Source organism: Homo sapiens, chromosome 10, assembly GCF_000001405.40.
Source record: "Homo sapiens chromosome 10, GRCh38.p14 Primary Assembly".
NCBI lineage: Eukaryota > Metazoa > Chordata > Mammalia > Primates > Hominidae > Homo > Homo sapiens.
In genome coordinates, this window is record NC_000010.11 from 57,377,022 (window position 1) to 57,397,408 (window position 20,387).

General features: G+C 34.5%; 1 long non-coding RNA gene across 1 annotated transcript in view; it reads right to left on the reverse strand.

Annotated features, from left to right (window-relative positions):
- The window catches only part of LOC105378313 (uncharacterized), an 85,058-nt gene that overhangs the window by 54,781 nt on the left and 9,890 nt on the right, over positions 1–20,387 (reverse strand). The window lies entirely within an intron of this gene.

Here is a 20,387-nt window from a genome sequence, read left to right on the forward strand (position 1 = left end):
GACAAAATGACCATGACTTATTTTTAAAACACCAATAGCAAAGGAAGAAGGTCAAGGGTATAGTCGTATCTTCTAAAATTCAGAAATAAATTTTGAAAAATAATTTGAAGATACAACAGCACAATTCTCTCGCTGATTTTCTTTCTTTCTTTTTTTGTTTGTTTGTTTGTTTTTTGAGAAGGAGTCTCGCTCTGTCGCCCAGGCTGGAGTGCAGTGGCGCTGTCTCCGCTCACTGCAAGCTCTACCTCCCAGGTTCAAGCCTTTCTCATGCCTCAGCCTCCCGAGTAGCTGGGACTACAGGCGCCCGCCACCACGCCAGGCTAATTTTTTTGTATTTTTAGTAGAGACAGGGTTTCACCGTGTTAGCCAGGATGGTCTCAATCTCCTGACGTCGTAATCCACCCGACTCGGCCTCCCAAAGTGCTGGGATTACAGGCGTGAGCCACAGCGCCTGGCTGTTCTGTCACTGATTTTAATGAGAGTCTGTGAATATTGTGACAAACTTCCCCAGTGGAAGTAAGCAGAGAAAATATCTGCAAATTCAAATTGGTTGCATTGGAGTTTAAATAAATGTAGATTTGGGGGAGTCAATTTTGTCAAAGCACAAAATTTGAAAGGAGACCACACTTCCAAGATCCAATACAAAAGGGAGGTGCAGGCAAAAGAGATTCAGGCAAGCTAAGGTCTATAGTGGCCTAAGCAACGTTAACATATATAATAGAAAAGGACACCTTGAGAGTTAATTTAAATATGATCATAAAGGAGGGAATAGTCTTTATTCCATGTCATTAGAGAGAAAGAAAGAGGGCCAAGGGGTTCAGTCTCCAGGAAAGAAAATCTGAGCTTAATGAAAAACCAGTGTTTTTTCTCTCTGCTAAGACAGCAAGTCAGCTAAGGGATTTTGAACATCAATGTCTGGATGACCACCTGACAAGACTATCACATGGGTGGCTTTCCACTGGTGGGGAGTTAAACAACACAACGTTCATAGGTCATTTTCAATTAAAATATGCCGTGCAACTAACATTTATTTATTGATATATTTGAAATCACACACACACATACAAACACACACACACAGACACGAAATTTTAATGGCATTCAAAGTTATATTTTTTCAATGTTATTTATCACATAAAAGGTCTTATATCAGTTATCTATTCTGACAATAATGCTTGCAACAGAAAAATATCTTTAAAAATTCAGTGGCCTGCAACAACAAATATTGAATTAGCTCATGTGTTTGTGAAATTCCTCTGACCTGGGCTGGATTCAAACAGTCTCAGTGGGACTCACTCACATATCTGGCAATCACCTGGCTGACAACTAACCTAGGATGCCCTGAGCTCGTGTGGTTAGAGTAGCTTCGCTCTACTTCACTCTAGCAAGCTCTAAGAGATCCTGGAAGGGAACCCAGGCCTGTTTTCTAAGACTCTAGAAGGCTTGCCCACATATGTGCTTATGGCCAAGATAGAGGATCAGGAGCACAGGTTGAAATATGCAAATAATTTTGTAATCTTTTTCTGTGTGTCATACATTAGTACATCTTAGTGCCCAAATCAAGACATGTGGCTAGCATAAATTTCATAGTGGGAAGCCACAAGAATCTTATATCACAATGGATGTGCATAAAAAGAAGCTGAAGAATTGGGTTTATTAGATGCAATCTATGTACCACACATCTAAAATTTCCAAAGAATGACAAATAAGTACCATGAAGCACATTAACAAAATGTGTTCATACTTTTTCTGATGTATTTAGTTCCTTTTTGTAAAGAAAATATTAATTGTAAAGAAAGCCATATGGATTAATAAGGATTAATAATAATTTCTATATTCAGATATTAAGTAAATGTTTACACAAATATTTATATTCAAACATGCATTGGTGCATGCGTAAGTATATGTAGGAAATAACTCCTATTAGAATAGCCAAAGGTAAAAAGAAAAAGAAAAATCAATACCAAGTGCGAATGGAGCTAGAATTTATGTAGAAACCCCATCCCTCAAGGAGATGGCACTTAACTCTCCACCTTTTGAGGGTAGATTATGTTTATTAAAGAATAGGTTATAGAAAGAATGATTGTCATATGCAGAAGAATGAAACTGGACCCCTATCTCTTACCATATACAAAAATCAACTCAAGATTTATCAAATACTTAAAGGTAAGACCTGAAAATATAAAAATACTGGAAGGAAACCTAGGGGAAACTCTTCTGGATATTGGTCTAAGCAAATAATTCATGACTAAGTCCCCAAAAGCACAAGCAAAAAAACAAGAATAGATAAGTCATACTTAATTAAACTAAAAACCTTCTGCACAGCAAAAGAAATAACCAACAGAGTGAACAGACAACCACAGAATAGGAGGAAATATTTGCAAACTATACATCCAACAGAGTACTGATATCCAGAATTTACAAGGAACTCAAACAACAACAAAAACAACCCCATTATAAAGTAGGCAATGGACATGAATAAACATTTTTCAAAGATGACACACAAATGGCCAACTACAATATGAAAAAAAAGTCCAACACCACTAATTATAGAAATGCAAATTGAATTCATAATGAAATATCATCTTATACCATCAGAGTGGCTGTTATTAAAAAGTCAAATAATAACAAATGTTGGAAATAATGTAGAGAAAGGGTAATGCTTATACATTCTTGGCGGGGATGAAAATTAGTACAGCCTCTATGGAAAACCGTATGGATATTTCTCAAAGAACTAAAAGTAGAACTACCATTTGACCCAGCAACCCTGCTGCTGAGTACCCAAAGGAAAAGAAATCATCATATATACAAGATACCTGCCCTCATATGTTTATAGCAACACTATTCATAATAGCAAAGAAATGAAATCAACCTAAGTGTCCAACAACAGATAATTGGATAAAGAAAATGTGATACACACACACATGCACACACACACATACACACACACGTATACTGGAATACTATTCAGCCATAAAGAAGAATGAAATTATGTCTTCACAGCAATGTGGATGGACCTGGAGGCCTTTATCTCAAGTGAAACAACTCAGAAACAAAATCAAATACCATATTCTGACATATAAGTGGAGGCTAAATAATAGACATACATGGACATCTATTGTGGAATAATAGACATTGGAGACTGAGAAGGGCGGGAGGCAAGTGATGGATAAAAAATTAATTATTCAGGTGATGCATTACACTAAAAGCCCGACCTCACCACTATGCAATATATTCATGTAGCAAAAATACACTTGTACCCCTTAAATTTATACAAAGAAAAAAAAAGAATGAAAAAAACAAACCAAACCAAACCAAATCAAACAAACAAAACTTGTAGTGAAGAACCTGGCAACCACTACCCTGGCCCAGTGATCATGCCTAACATCACCAGTGATAAGTCATGTTGGTAGCATGTATTCTTGATGTGATGTGATGACACTTCACTGCTGTGGTCTTCCTCCCCCAAATCTATGTTTCCTGTCTTATGATGAAAAAACAAAGTTAGACAAATTTAAATTAAATAACATTCTAAGAATTATCTACCAGTAATCTTCAAAACTGCCAAAGTCATCAAAAACAAAGAAAATCTGAGAAACTGTCACAGTTAAGAGGAGCCTAAGGAGACATTACTAAATATACTGAGGTATCCCAGATAGGATTCTGGAAGAGGAAAAAAAGTCACTATGAGAGAAAAAACAATAAAATCTGAATTAAGAAGAATGGAGTTTGGATAATAGTAATATACCATTTATAAATTGGATATAATCTACATGGCATGTATGAATCAGTGTTATGAAGAGAATGAAAGAGAATGATAGCATCTATATTCTCCACAACTGATATTAATTTATATGCATTTTCATAAGCATGAGTAGAGTACTAAGGCAGATAAATTAACATGAAATGACCAAAAAAAAAAAAAAAAAAAAAAACCCTTGAAGGCGCCTGCAATTATTCAGTGTAATCATGTTTAGGGGGCAAGTTTTTGGCAGAAAATTGACATATTGAGTGTGGAACACACGATCTTTAAATGAGACTTTGAATATGTTTTATAAATAAAAACAAAAAGTTTGGCTCTGCTTCACTCTAGCAAGCTCTAACAGATCCTGGAAGACAACCCAGGCCTGTTTTCTAAGACTCTAGAAGGCTTGCCCAGATACGTGCTTATGGCACCGCCATGGTAAGACGTGCTTTCTTCCCCTTTACCTTCTGCCATGATTGTAAGTTTCCTGAGGCCTTCTAGCCATGCTTCCTGTACGGCCTGTGGAACTGTGAGTCAATTAAACCTCTTTTCTTCACAAACTACTCAGTCTCGGGTAGTTCTTCATAGCAATATGAGAATGAACTAATACATGTATTATAAAGGATTTTACTAAATTTTATAACTAATACAATTACAACGTCCTTCAAAGTCCTCAATCACCAGTTATAGTCTATAGTCTACTGACAGTGCTAGTCTATGTCAGCAGGGAGTGAGGTGGGGGAGGTGAGGTAAAGGTATTATCAAACAAAGGATTGAGCTTGCTGTGTAACTTAAACTGTTTGCTTTAAGCGGTCCTGTTTCATTCTTGTGATCTCCTTTATTTGATGGCACCCAAGATCTCTCATACACAATAATAAATTCAGTGTTTACTAGAAAACTTAGCACCCCAATCCAAACTTCAGAAATGATATTGCATACATTATTCAATTTTTATGTCTATAGCTTTCACCTAAATGGGCAGTTATTGTAGCAAGATCTGGAAGATGATTTAACTGTTATAGTCCATCTTACCTGATTGTACAAAAAAAAAAAAAAAAACAAAACAAAAAGAGAAACCATTATAGAAATACAAGGTCTTCAGAGTTTTTGTACTCTATCAGATAGATCGTAATGGTATTATTTTATTTTTTATGTTATTTTTATTTGTTTTTGAGATGGAGTCTCCCTCTGTCCCCCAGGCTGGAGTGCAGTGGCTTGATCTCGGCTCACTGCAAACTCCGCCTCCCGGGTTCATACCATTCTCCTGCCTCAGCCTCCTGAGTAGCTGGGACTACAGGCACCCGCCACCACACCCAGCTAATCTTTGGTAATTTTAGTAGAGACGGTGTTTCACCATGTTAGCCAGGATGGTCTCGATCTACTGACCTTGTGATCCTCCCACCTAGGCCTCCCAAAGCGCTGGTATTACAGGCATGAGCCACCACGCCCAGCCTGTAGTGGTATTTTAATATTTGACTTCTCTTTCATAATTCACATGAAAAGTAAGTCCCTGCAAAATAATTTATTTTGTGCCCCTAAGACAACTTTGGCCAAATAATAGGTAAAAATAGGTATAAAAGGTAACTAATCACCTTTCACAGTATAAACATATGATATTACCATGGAACTTAAGAATTAAAGTTTTGTGTAAACTTTTTTTTTTTTTCTGAGACAGAATCTTGCTCTTGTCGCCCAGGCTGGAGTGCAATGGCATGATCTCAGCTCACTGCAACTGCCTCCTCCTGGGTTTAAGCAATTCTCCTGCCTCAGCCTCCTGAGTAGCTGGATTACAGGCACCTGCCACCATGCCCGACCAATTTTTGTATTTTTAGTAGAGATGGGGTTTTGCCATATTGTCCAGGCTGGTCTCGAATTCCTGACCTCGTGATCCACCCGCCTTGGCCTCCCAAAGTGCTGGGATTACAGGTGTGAGCTACCGTGCCTGGCCTTGTGTAAACTTTTGAATCTGAATATAGCATTCTGCCCTACGACAAGGGATTCCTTTGTAATGATTTCATTTTACTGAAACTATTCGCGTACCATTTTAAAGTAACCTTGTTAGACAGTTTATATAACCTTGTTATATAACATTGTTATCATTGCCCTATGAACAGCACAAAACATAAAACAGCTTGTTTGCACATGAAAAATTTGATTTGAGTTGTATTTAAAAGAATTTATCATTTTCACTTTTGAATAAATAATTTTTCTGATTTAAGAGAATTTGGGGATGCTTTATTAAGACTAATAGTGTACAGCCTGACTTTGTGTTGATGCAAATAATAAAAATAAAAAGAGCAAATATAACACATTTTTATTTAAATGTGAAAAAACCCCAGCTTTCTGTTTATATTTAGAGGTTTAGATAAGGGTGACTAATTTTTAGAAAAGACATTATGTCAACATAATACTTAGATACAGGAGTCAAATTAATGAGCAGATACTAAAGCCATTGACAAGTGCATTGTTTATAATAACTTTGTAAAAGTTAAAATTTTGCTTTTCTTACCAAGTATTTTAAAACTTAAACATTCTCAGAAAAGGAAAATGACAAGTCAAATTTTTGGCAAATTGTAGATAGCCTAGAAAACTAACTTAGATATTTTCAAATAGTGTACAACTTTTACTGAATTTTAGAATATCAAAGAATAATGTCAAGAATGATGCATGTAGACAGACTTAATATAGAAGCACAAAATTAAAAACCAAGCAAACAACAAATGTATAAGTCATGCTACAAGGTGCTAAGAGCAATTAAGATAAAAAATCTGACATAATGCCAACTAACTTCAAGGCAGTTCTTACTTGGTTTCGGAGAAGAAAGACTAACATGTTGAAAAGATAAATCTCAGTCAAAAATTAATGTAATGTATATGACATGGGAGTATATTATTTCAATTTGGGCCAGAATCATTTTAAATACTACTAACAAATAGTAAGACCAGGCAGATTCATGCTAAATTAAAAAGAAAATACAACTTAAAAGGTCACTAGCTCTTTTGTCAGTTTATCCAAATGAGAACCTTACCATGAACCTTTCATGTGATACATAAACTTAAGGTAGGCATGACTCTAAGTATAAAGGTAATTAATAAAAATAAGTAAACAATTGGAATTGAATGTTATCACAGAATCTGTCTTTTCCCAAATAACTTATCCAAATACATAATGATGAATGTTTGCATTTAGCTTGACGTCTTATAAGCCAAATGCAAGGTGATTTGGAGATCTATTTTTTTAATGTGTATCATCTCCCTCATTCACACCCCACCCCTGCCAAATATATGCCATCCTGTGTATTAGTTTTCTATTGTTGCAGTAACACATACCCACAAACAATGGTTTAAAAAACAACACAGATTTACATTTTATAATTCTGTAGGTCAGAAGTCCACCAAGCTAAGATCAAGGTGTCAACAGATTATATTCCTTTCTACAGGCTCTATAGGACTATTTCTTGTTTATTCAGATCACTGGCAGAATTCAGTCCCTTGTGATTGTAGGGACAAGGTCCCTATTTTCTTGCTGGTCATAAACTGAGATGCATTTCTAGCTCCTAGAGGCCACCGCATTTCTTGGCTCATGGGCCCTTTCCTTCATCTTCAAAAGAAGCAATGGATAATCAAGTCTTTCTCATGTTCCATCTCTCTGACAAGCCCTTCTGCCCACAGTTTCCACTTTTAAAAACTCATGTGATTATATTGGGAGGACATAGGTAATCCAAGATAATCTCCCCAATTTAAGGTCCATGCCTTCATTTTAATTTCTAACCCTAAAATTCATTTTTGCCACATAATATAACATAGACACAAGCTCTCAAGATTAGAAATAAATGCCATTTCTTGTATTTTCAGGGTTGTCTCTTCAACCATAGATCTGATTTTCATCACTGTGGTTTGTGAAGATTTCTCACTTGTGTTTATCTTGTCTATACCTCTCTACATTCTACTACATTCTAAGTAAGGCTCTCCTTCTGCACAGTGAATAATTTATTAAGTCAATGGGTGGGAATTCATATTCCCTCCTCTAGTAAACACATTAATTGTCTAACAAAAGGAAACCTATCAATCCCAAGTTATAACTTAAAAATGTGTGCACTGTTGAAACCTTCGTAAAATCATGCAACCAAGATTGCAAGCCACAGGGTTTTTGAGTAGCCATTAATTCATACAACATACTCAGCTGCCTGTGAATACTGGACTAATCAAGCTCTTTAGTATTCCTGGGTCTTGAATTTCTAAGACAAGATTTTCTGTACTTTATTGTGAGAATAAAAGTATATACTGAGATTGTATTATCTTGGAGTGGAGACACGTTTTTGGTTCTCCCCAGTGAGGAGTAATTTGATCTCATGATACTATATGCTTCTATCTTTCTTCTATTTTTTGTTCTTTGTTTATATTTTAGAGGAGGTTTGTATTTTAGGCTTCTTTTTGTTGTTGTTATGAAACTTGCATCCAGTAATATTAGAACTTAAATATTAGGTTAAAACAAAGTTCTCAATTTTTTGGAAAGCAAGAGTAGTATATATAATTTCTTTAGTAAAAGGACAAAGGAAAAAGTTAAGGAAAATAATTTAGTCTGATTTACTTATAAAGTATGGAGACTTAATAACTGACTTTTACCACACTACTTATCCACAATATCTACAAACACTCCCTATGCTTCAGAAATGCAAAAAAAAAAAAAATTACTTTGAAGTGCTATTTTCTACTTTCTTTTCCACTCTCTCTTCAATTTCATTCCTCTGAAATAAGCTGGTGTTTTGGATATTTTCTATTTTGAAATAGTAATGCATTTTTGAAAATCAAATAGTAGTAATAAAATCCCCACTAGCATTGCTAGTCAACCTGAGAACTCAAAATTAAATTCTTCTGCACATTGCCGCTATAAAATTTACCGTCAGAACTTTAGAAATGTGCTTATGATGCACAAAAGAAAAATGAAATCTATTTTGGAGGGGGAAATAAATGAGCTCTCTGCAATGGGCAGACTCAGTCCCCAAGCAATAGCCTTGAGTCGATAAAGGACTGAATATTTGGAATCAGGACATATATAATATCAAGAGGAAGGGCCATGTTATCAGTATAAATTTTGCCAGCTCCAATATAGTATATACTCTTTTGTTAATCTCACATTAATCAGTCTATTGACAATTGTTATTCAGGAACAAATAAATAAAAGTATATAATAGTTGGATTACCAGCACAATGTAGGCTTAGACATGTTCCACAGAGGATAAGTCAATTATTAATATTTCACTTCTTTGTTTTTCACGCTGATTTCAAGGAAGGATACAAGATATACAATATATTATACATCTTAATTCAATAATCACCTTTGAAAATACACATACAAAATGAAATCCAACTTATAAATATTTAGAAATAATAAATGTTTGTGAAATTCAGTTTTCCATGTTGCTTTTGGTTAAGAAAGTAAAATATAGTAGAAATTGATGGAAAAGTGTACATAAGGGAAAAATAAAAGTGTATTAGAGAGAAATAAAAAGGGATGAAAAACAGGGAACTAGAAATAAAATCAGTCTTTATATTATAGTTTGAATGTTTAGAATCTCCTTGTAATCTTCAATGGTCAGGACTAAAGACTAATACTTATTTACCAGAGGCATTTGCAAATATTTTGTGCCAGGAATGAGTCTCTAAAATACTTGCTTAGACATTTATGTGTTACACAGAGACCAAAAGAAAAAAAATAAAATATATGATTTTTTCCATTATTCATCCATTCACCCATGTGTCTGTGTGTCTATCCATCTATTACTTTCTAAAGTTCCATTAGAGTGTTTTCAGAGAGTGGATAAATGACTACCTGGCTTATTTTTTTTACAAAGCCTGTGTGCTTCTTTAAATTTGTTTTCTCGGCCATTTGGCACTCTTTGATAAATAGTAGTTACTGTGCTTAGAGGACAAGCAAGGTATAAAGCCAAGCCTGTAAGACTCTAAATCTCATGCTCAAAATCATTATATTTCTCTTTAGAAAAAAAAAATCTGTGACTTTCAGCATGTTACTTAATCTGTCTATGCCTCAATTTCCTTTTTTTTTTTTTTTTTTTTTTGTAAAACAATTAGTTTTAGTATCTGCCTCATAAGGTCCTTGTGAAGATTAAATCGTATTATACCAGTAAAGTCCCTAGGTCAGAGTTTGGCCTGTATCAGGTGTTCAATAATTGTTAACATTTATTTTTATTACCTTAATTCATATTCATAGCTAAGTCAATCATAGTCATTCCTCATAGTCACAGTCATAGTGGCCTCAATGAATAAAAACTCAAGTTCTTTCAGATTTTCAAACTGTTACTGTGTTTTTATAACTCTCAGAGAAACAGAACCTATAGAATATATGAGAGATTTATTGTGGGAATTGGCTCACACAATAATGGAGACTCAGAAGCCCAAGGGTATGGCTGTCTATTACCTGGGCAACCAGGAGACTGGTGGTGTAACTCCCAGTCCCAGGCTGAAGGCTTGAAAATTCTAGTGCCCCACCCCCACCCCCCCACAGCTGATATAAGTCACAGAGTCCGCTGGTCTGAGAACCATGAGCTCTGATGTTGGAGCACAGAAGATGGATGTCCCACCTCAAGAAGAAAGAATGTGCCCTTCCTCTGCCTCTTTGTTCTATTTGGGCCCTCAGTGGGTTGGATGATAATGGCCTATATTGGTGAAGGTAGATTTTCTGTACTCGTTTTACTGATTCAAATGCTAATCTCTTCTGGAAACAGCCTCACAGATACAATGTATTACCAACTATCTAAGCATCCCTTAGCCCAGGCAAGTTGATACATAAAATTAACCACCAAAATAACCAAGTTAAGGGTTCTGCTTCATAGCACTGAGGGTCTTGACAAATTCTGTTGGTACCTCTACTTATTAAACCCCACTGAATAAAGACCATCAGGGATACATTGGCAGCAAAGTTAGTTTTACTGGCTTACAAGATAGAAAGCAGCCTGGCAGAATTGTGAGCATCTCAAAAAGAAAGTGTTAAAAAATAACCTTAGAGGATTTGGGGGTTACAATTAGTCACACAGTTTTCTCAGGCTTTAGTCATCATTTGTAAGCTAAGTGATTTGCTGGAATAGTAAATGTTCTTATCTTTAGAACACATGACCTCATGCCAAATTACTGTTACATTGGTTTATCTGGTGTCTTGTCATTAATTTATGAGAATTTTTTAATGTTTTTGTTTAGTGTGCCTTGTATGTTTGGGTTTGGTAGTTTCTCTATTCTGTGTCTCACAGGAATGTTTTACAAATTGTGATTTATATTCCATTCAAAGTTCTTCCATCACAGCCTATTTGCCAATGGGGCCATTTTTCACATCACCAGCAATTAGTTTTGAAACTTACAGTAGTTCTGGTGAGAAATAATTGTGGCTTATAGCAAGATATCGTAAGTAGAAATCAAAATAAATTGCTAAATGTGAGGAGTTTCTATGAGGCAGAACTATCATGTTTTGGTGATTGATGAAAAGCCAGGGCTAAGGGAAAAAGACATATCAAAAATGCCTGCTAGATGTCTAAATCACAAAACTTTCTAGCAAATATGCACCTACAAATATAGAGCAAGATACACATCCACCACAACAAGTACAATGCTACATCACATTCAATTGAAATATTAATATTAAGCAGAATGGAACATCAGATGAAATTACAAAATATTACATAACCTATTGAGCCCCTTTAATAGCATTAAGATTACTGCAATGTTAAGCAAGAACATCACTGAAAAAAACAATAATAATGAGTAGTTTCTCCATATAGTTGAGAAATTGCATTTATTTTACTAGAATCTTAGATTTTCAGAGTGACCTATTTTGCCTTTGATGAAATGATCTGAACTCAAATGTTTTATTTAACTTTTAACAATTCCATTGAATTTGATCATTTTAGTGGAAGATATTTTAAGAATACACTAACTTTATTCACGTAAAAATTATTCCTCTTCATTGAGTAGCTGCTCTTTCATTCTTTATGCCTCACATTCACACACAAGAGAACACACTTAAACAATGCTTAGCATATGGTGTGTGTTTATAATATTCACATATTTACAGGGAAGTGGAAAATCAAAGGCTTCTTATAAGCACAAATAAAAACAATAAAAAGATAAAATGCAGCTTAAAATTAGAACTCTATTAAAAGGTCCAGCTAAGGTCTAGAAAATACTTATACTGTGGCATTGGTGTATAAGCTAATTGGAGAGCCATGCTGGTTTCAAGTATGTGTGAAGTCTGCTCCGAAAGGGCAGCTTTGATCATGATTGTGTCTTTCTTATCTGATCAAGTAATTAAAGTTTTATAATGCAAGCTGGAAAAGTACAACAATGGCAGACTCTTCCCAAATATGTTTTAAAAAAAATCTATCACGGTCTACTGATCACCTATCCCAGATTATCTGTTTGGAATATTACGCTTCAGGCCAGGTGCAGAGGCTCATGCCTGTAATACCAGCACTTTGGGAAGCCGAGGCAGCAGTATTTTTGAACCCATGAGTTCTAGACTAACCTGAGCAACATAGAGAGACCTCCTGTCATGAGTCATCACCCTCTTCACTTTAGGATGTCACCTTCTTCTCTCCATGGTAGGGTTAAAGACTTCCTAGGTGCTTTCAGGACACCAGATTAGAGGCATTCTGTTTTCACTTTTAAATATATTTAGAGTAATATCATTTGTCACTTGATGTTACCCTAAATACATCATAAGCAATCTGAAAATAAATAAAAGTTTAACAATATATCTTATTTAAAAAATTATTTTGTTTCCTTGAAGCAAAAAATGAGGACCAGAAAACACTCTAAAAAGACTTTTGAAATGTCAGCAAAAAGGTTTGGTATTTTTGTGAATGCACACACATAAAAAATTGGAGTTTATACGTCATAACTGCTAGTAGACACAAGTTCATGTAAAGCAAGCTTACGGATTCTGGCCCAACAACAACTAGAGAAATAAACGAATAATAAGAAGGCTATACCAAAAATGTAACACAAAATGAAATTGTGCATCATTATGGTGTGCTCTTCAATTACAGCAAATAAAACTTTTCACAGATGGAGACAATAATACTATTTGGTTGTCTTCTGAACTGACATAGAAACATATTACCAACATATTGTCAGGTTAACATTACATTCCAAGTTTTTCTCCACAAAAACTACGCTCTAGCTTTGTGTGGTGCTGTCTTAGAGTTGCGATTACAGCCTCCAGGGATAAGTCTATCTGCTATGGTAATATCCTGCCTGGAGTCTCATCAGCAAAAGTTGAATCAATCTTCAGCAATCTTCGGCACATTTTATGAATAATAGGAGATGTGTCATATTCTGCCCTGGTAGGTTGTTTTCTGAAATTGTAGATATTTTTCAAGAGATTGGAACACCAATGTGCTATACTTATTTAACTTCCATATGGTAAGATAATTTTAAAAAAAGATGGGTCTGTAAACACAGAGGACATTGTACATCATTATTATTTCTGGTTTTTATTCTCCATACAAATATCATACTCCAAATAAAATGAAGAGATTTGCTAGTTATGGATCATTACAAGAGTTATTTTGCTGGTAAAAGCAGTTGATGGCCAAAACAAACGTTTTATTACATACTGAAGATTAAATATATGGAAATACATTCATCACAATGAGATTCTTTCTTCAGAATGACATGATTAAGGTGAATTATGGATGGAGATAATTAAATAAATCTACTTTCATGTTACAAATTGAAACTAAAACAAGAATCAGACATCTCAAGTGTCTTTATTATCCTCTATAACAAATTAGACTTTACAAGATACAATATGTGTTTTTTCAGAATGGATTTATCCTGCAATAACTTTGCTGGTCAATTGCTTTACACAATGACTTGGATCCAGTTTCATTATAAAATAAAATTGTCAAAAACTTAACTAGAAATACCATATCTATACTGAATATATCAGTCAGAATTAATATAATTTCTGTTAATATTTTGGATATATATACACAGTATATATAATACTGTAGTCTATGTATTTCTTCTTATTATTATCATCCAATCTACTAATTTAGCTTGGATCATTCCCATTCTAGAATTTTTGATGTTGTAGTTGATTTTTTCAAAATTATTTTATTTTGTATTTTGAGAGTTTCCAATTATTTAGTTTTCTTCATCCTTCTTATTTTGTTGTGTTATTTTTTATTTTGTGATTTCTTGTTTCCGCTTATGCACATAAATGTTCTCCATGTTTTTGAGGACTTAAGTGTAATTGTTTTTAAATTATTCAAAATTTTCATTATTATTTTTATTTTGAAAAGTGAATTAATTTACAGAATGTTACTGTATAGGTTAGCTTCCTTTGTTCACCTATGTATTTAGAATTTTAGTTTCTAGGCTCTGTATTGACCTTGATTATCAGCCTTCTCTTTTCACTAGTCCTTTTTCAGTTTTCTCCCCCTTCCTTCCAGAAGCTCATGTCTAAACCAAGTCTTATGCAGATGGCTCCAAAATGCTGCCCCAATGCAATAGTGGCTGGGCTAGATTCTTGGGCAAGCAACACGAAATATTGCATTGGATTGCTAATTTAGATGAGCCCCTTCCTTGGTTTAATGCTCTTCTGTCTTGGTCTTGGTATTGTTAATAATGTTATCTTTAAACTTGTGTTTGTCAGTGAAATCTGAAGGGACAATGGAGCATGCATTTGAGCAGACTTATGTACAATATGCATGTCTCTGTTGCTTGATGCCCATGCACATAGAGCCTTCCTGGTGTCCCATAAGCACAGAGTCCCTGTGTGCTCTCAGTAAGTGGTAGTTCCAAAAAATTCAATACAAGTACAGGGTAAATGTGTTCTGTTCAGGCAGAGCTGTTAATAGCGCCGAGAGGCGATAATTTCTGTTCCAACAAAAACTGGCTGCACACACAGAAAGAAGGCTACAGATTTCTAAGAAACATGAACAACCAAAGAGTCCTATCATATCATTTCTTACTCAGAAGTTTCTTTCCTATATTAGCCGACCACTTATGCTGAAAATGAAGGCAGGGAAGAGAAACATAAGACAGCTCATAGTCTCTTCTCCATTTGATCCTTATATACCCATTGGTAAGTAATAGGTAGAGAGTGTTGGTAGAATGTGTGTATATTGATACGATAAATAGAAAAGTTGAGTTAGTTTTGTGCAGTGTTTCTACTGCACAAAATATATGTTGGTAGTAACAAAATATACATGCATGTACATACTATGAAATATGTATTATGTAATTTTTGTGATTCTATGTATAAGTTAAATGCTTTTATATTTGCATTTTAAATTGATACTGCACAACATAAAAATGAATGTGAAAATTTATTGTGGTAATTTAGATTTTTAATTTTTTTACATAAAAGGACATAGAATAGCAAAGGAAAAACAAAACAAACAAACTGAAAGACGTAACAAGTTGAAAAATAGATCACAGATAAAGGAAACATTTTATACTTTGATACACTTAATAGAACCTTTTGCTTATATTTTGAACTAGAGCCCCACACTTTCATTTTGCACTAGACCTTACAAATTATATAATCAACCCTGGACACTGAATTAAGACAAAAGCCAATATTTACAAAAATGGGCACCATAGCCCAAGCTATTGCTTTGAAGCTACATTAGTTCCTGTTTCCAGCTGTGAGCCTGAACTCCATTTTAGGAAGTGAGACTGGCCAGGGTTTCTGTGTAGAGTTTGGCATTTTTATTCTCTAGGACCCTGCAAGAGTCTACAGTAATTGTAGACTCAAAAATGTCAGAGATTGCTGCTTGTATTTATATAATGCCCCATACTGGAGAAGGCAGCCTCTCTCTATTACGGAATAAAGACAAGACTGTGGCTTTGGTATTTTTTTATCTTCTAATTCCTGGTCCATGGAGATAGTTATCTTATTTTGTTTATATCTACCTTTTAAATTTTATTTATTCATATTCTCCTGCCAACACTCTGTATTTGTAGCAGAGTTCTGGGCAGATGTCTCCACAAGAACAATCATTAACAAAAGTAAGAAGCACAGTTTAAGATAAACAAATTTAATGAAACATAAACATTAGATGTTATATATTTAATATTTCTAACAAAAATGAAATAAGAAAAAGAAAGAACAGAAGAAAGAACAAAAGGAAGAAAGACAAAAAACAAATAGTTTATTTTCTGAAATGTCTACATCAAAATGATTCACCCTTGCTGCCTCTCTTTGGTGATCACAGAAAAGCTCACTACGATAATCAACATTCACATGAACACAACTCCATGTGTCTGATGTTTACTAATACGAAAAAGTTGTTTCCCTTCTTTGCCAGATCTTTTAAATTTGAATTTATGTTGTGATCAATGATTATTAGATTTGACCAAAGAATCCTTTTATCTCTGTTTAATTACATTTCTTGTCATCAAGAAGTTAATATTGCAAAAACAAACAAACAAAATGAAGTATTTCCTTGGCAGTCTCAACAACTGAAAACAAAGCAAGCAAAATGGACACAAGCCATCTAGAAGACTTCATCAAATATTATTTTACTTATTCCAAGCTAAACCATCATTACTCTTGTCTCTCAGCTAGGGAACTTAAAAAGATGATCATATTCTGAAACTTTAATGTTCTATAATAATTGTTTATCTGTGAACCTGCAGCAGAGCCATGAACAAAGGAAATTATTCTCTTGTCTGAAACGTCTGCATTTTGCAATGTGTGGAGTGGACATTTGGGGGTGTAGAGCATAGTGAACACGTTTCTTCAGTTCCAGGGAATTACCAATTCAGTACCTTCAACCTTATATTTTGTAGCTTAAGTCCATGTTTGGAAATGTCATCTCTTCCATTCTAAAATAATTTGTATTTCTTGCCCAATTTCACTTGCCTAGTCTCAAGGTAAACAGTTTGGAAGTGGTAGTGCCTGATAATTTTCTAACTTAAAAGTGCAATGCCCACTTGGAATTCTATCCAATTAAGGCAAGGAAGTACCCACTGTCACCAATACTGCTTTATCAGCCAGTTTTATTCTAGCAGCTGCATCAAGCAGCTGGTTCTGAGACTAATTCCACATCTTTCCAAAACATTATTGGTTTTTCCTCTCTCCCTGAGTAGTGTTAAGGATGGTAGAAGTAGATGGATAGCTTTGCTCTATGTTGACTTATATGCATTGAAGTATCAACTACTGACCTGCCTGTATGAGAAATGTGTGCTTTCTTCAGATGATAAACAATGTCTTGTCAGTTGGATCTCTTTAGGAATCTCATCTCTGATTAATAATATCTGATTGAAGACTTAACTTGAAACTTATTAGGTCAACAAAAAGATTAGTAATAAAAAATATACACCCTGAAGTGAAACATAAACAGAAAATATGCAAACAAGCCAAAATTAACTTTTTAAAGTCATGATTTTTATTTCTATATTAAAATAAGTATATATCTTTGCAATTTATCATATAAGTATCATACAATATACTGAGCATCCACTATGCCATAGTGTTCCTGGTATTTTTGAGAAAGCGTCCTATGTTCAAATACTGCATTGGTTCTCACTAAAGGAATGGTATTAAAGTAATTATATTACCACACACAACCTTAAACTTCTCATCCATAAATAACACCTTATTTGCACAGTTATTTAAAGGATTTATAAAAGATATGCCAGTCATTTGTTAACTGTATTGTCCATAAGAATCACCAGGAAAGCAGGTTTACATATAGATTACATGGATTACAGCTCCATAGATTCCAATTCAGTATATTTTAACAGTGTGCAAGAATATTCCTTTTAAGCATAAACCACAGTGACTTTGATTTAAGTAGTCAGTGGATAGTTAATAATTATCTATATATAAATCAACTAGTACAATGTCATAGGTTAGGGGTTTTGCAGGTAATAGGAATTAGATAACATGTAGTTAGAGTTATAGTGAGATACTGGTGTTACCTAAAACTTCTCACTCTCTAGGGTTCTGTTCAGCCCTTAACTAAAGGCAAGTAGAGGAGGAACCCCTGTCTGAGATCAGTCCAGATCCATTTATCATAATCCTTGTGCTGAATGCCTGACCATGTTGTCAGGTTATGAGTCTTATATTGGGTCAGTCTAACTGGAGTAAATGTAGATATATTAAGTGCTGAGATCTCAATCTCTCCACTAGCAATTGCTCACGCTTCTGTTTACTCCTCTGGTGTTTATAAAATCATGGCTTTAAGGATGAGATATGATATAAGAAATACGTTGTAGGCAATTTCATCATTGTGAAAACATCATAGAGTGTACTTACATAACCTGGATGGTATAGACCACTACAAATCTAGGATATATGGTATAGCTTATTGCTTCTAGGCTACAAACCTTTGTAGCATATGACTATACTGAATACTGTAGACAGCTGTAACGCAATGGTAAGTAATTGTGTATCTAAACAAATCTAATCATATAAAAAGTACAATAAAAATACAGTATAAAAGATATTATAAAACACGGTACATCAATATGGGGCACTTATGATGAATGGAGCTTGCAAGACTGGAAGTTGTTCTGAGTGACTTAGTGAGTGAGTGCTGAGTGAATATGAAGGCCTAGGACATTACTCTACATTACTGTGGACTTTATGAACGCTGTATACTTAGGCTACACTAAATTTATTTTTTAATATAATTCTTCAATAATGAATTAACCTTAGCTTATTGTAACTTTTTTACTTTATGAACTTTGTTTTTTTTTTAACTTTTGGACTATTTTGTAATAACACTTTGCTTAAAATAGAAACACATTGTACAGCTGTGCAAAAGGATTTTCTTTACATCCTTATTCTACAAACTATTTTTTCTATTTTTAAAACTTTTTAAATTTACTTATACTTTTAAAACATTTTTCATTTAAAAGTAAGACACAAACACACTAGTCTAGACCTATAGAGGGTCAGGCTAATATCATTGCCTTTCACTTCTTCATGTGTTCCCACTGGAAGGTCTTCAAGGACAAAAACACACATGGAACTGTCATCACCTATTACAATGCCTTCTTTTGGAATACCTTTTCAAGGACCGGCCTTTTCAGGACCTTTTCAAGGTCCTGTTTTACAGTTAACTTTTATTTTTCTTATAACTAGAAGGATTACACTCTAAAATAACAAGAAAAGTATATTATAGTAAATACATAAGCCAGAAACATTTATTTTTCTTATCAAGTATTATGTACTGTGCATAGTTGTACGTGCTACACTTTTAGATGGCCTGCAGCACAGTAGGTTCATATACACCAGGATTGCTACAAACAAGTGAGTCATGCATTGGACTACAATGTCATGGCAACCACGTCACTGGGAGACAGGAATTTTTCAGCTCCATTATAATTTTGTGGAGCTTGACTGAAACGCATATTCGTTGACTGAAACATCGTTATGCAGCACATGACTGTATTCCTAAAAGCTATGCACAAGTCTAAGTGGCAAAGGAAGTGATGTCAGTGCCATCTCCTGAGCTGTCTTCCTATACATTTCTTAGAAGGCCTGAGAGTTGCACTTATCCCTGGCCTCTTTGCTCATTCAAATGTTCTTTCAGCAACATCCCCATAGAAAAGAAAAGTCCTTTCTGGAGAGTAATGCAAATAAATCTGGGACCCCCAGAGAGTCTATGCAAATGATCAACAGGTTTAGAACAACATGTTTAGAAAATGACCAGAAAGTAAAATTTTTAATTAACATGTAAATAAACTGATTTATGGGCTGACTAGCAGCTTATATCTTTTTTTTATCCTCCCTGAGAAGTAGAAGGGTAGTTAGTTAGGGGAATCTTGGAAATTGGTTGGATTTCTAACAGTTGCCTTAAGGGGATTGTCATAAAATGTAAATAAAATAAGGTACTAGCAAAAGTGTGTGATTTGTGATGAATCACTTGCAGATTTTTCTTTTCCATGGTACTAAAACATCAATGAACAGAGACTAATTACTTTGATCAAGAATTTCAATTTAAGGAATCCCTTTACTAAAACACAAATATGTTATATGATTACTACATAACTAACTGCTCTTTTGGAAAACTCACTTTCACAAATTGATATTGCATGTTAAACTTTTAAGACATGGAATATAGAAAGGGATGCTTCCCAGACATTGGCAGAATGCCTCAGGATGGTAGAGGTATTGCTCTCACATGGGAACATGTACCTGGGAGGAAAAACTCATGCACCACAAGTGGGGAGATGAGAATAGAAAGGAAAGGTGGACAGGACTGAACTGAAAATTCAATTACTTTACAATTCTTCTCAGGCTTTCCCTGTCTTTAAATCATCTTGAGAGGCAGATTTGATTTTATGCTACACTGCAGGGCAGGGAAGAGGAATGAGTGCTATTCTGTGTGCTCACCTTTGGATACAGGTGTGAGAACGATATCCTCTGACTGACTCAAATCCTGAGCAGAATGAAGAATTTAAATTATTTCATCATGACTGCTAAATTTCAAAATGAATTACATGATTTTAAACAAACAATTTTAAGCATCATAGATGACAATAATGATTTGTAATAGGAATAAGCTGATGATTTGCTTGTTAAAATATTTTAAAATTTAGTTTTTTAAGTTTATCATCTCAGCTTTAATTTGCCTAAATAGCAGTGAAATCAGCTTTCCATTGAGTAC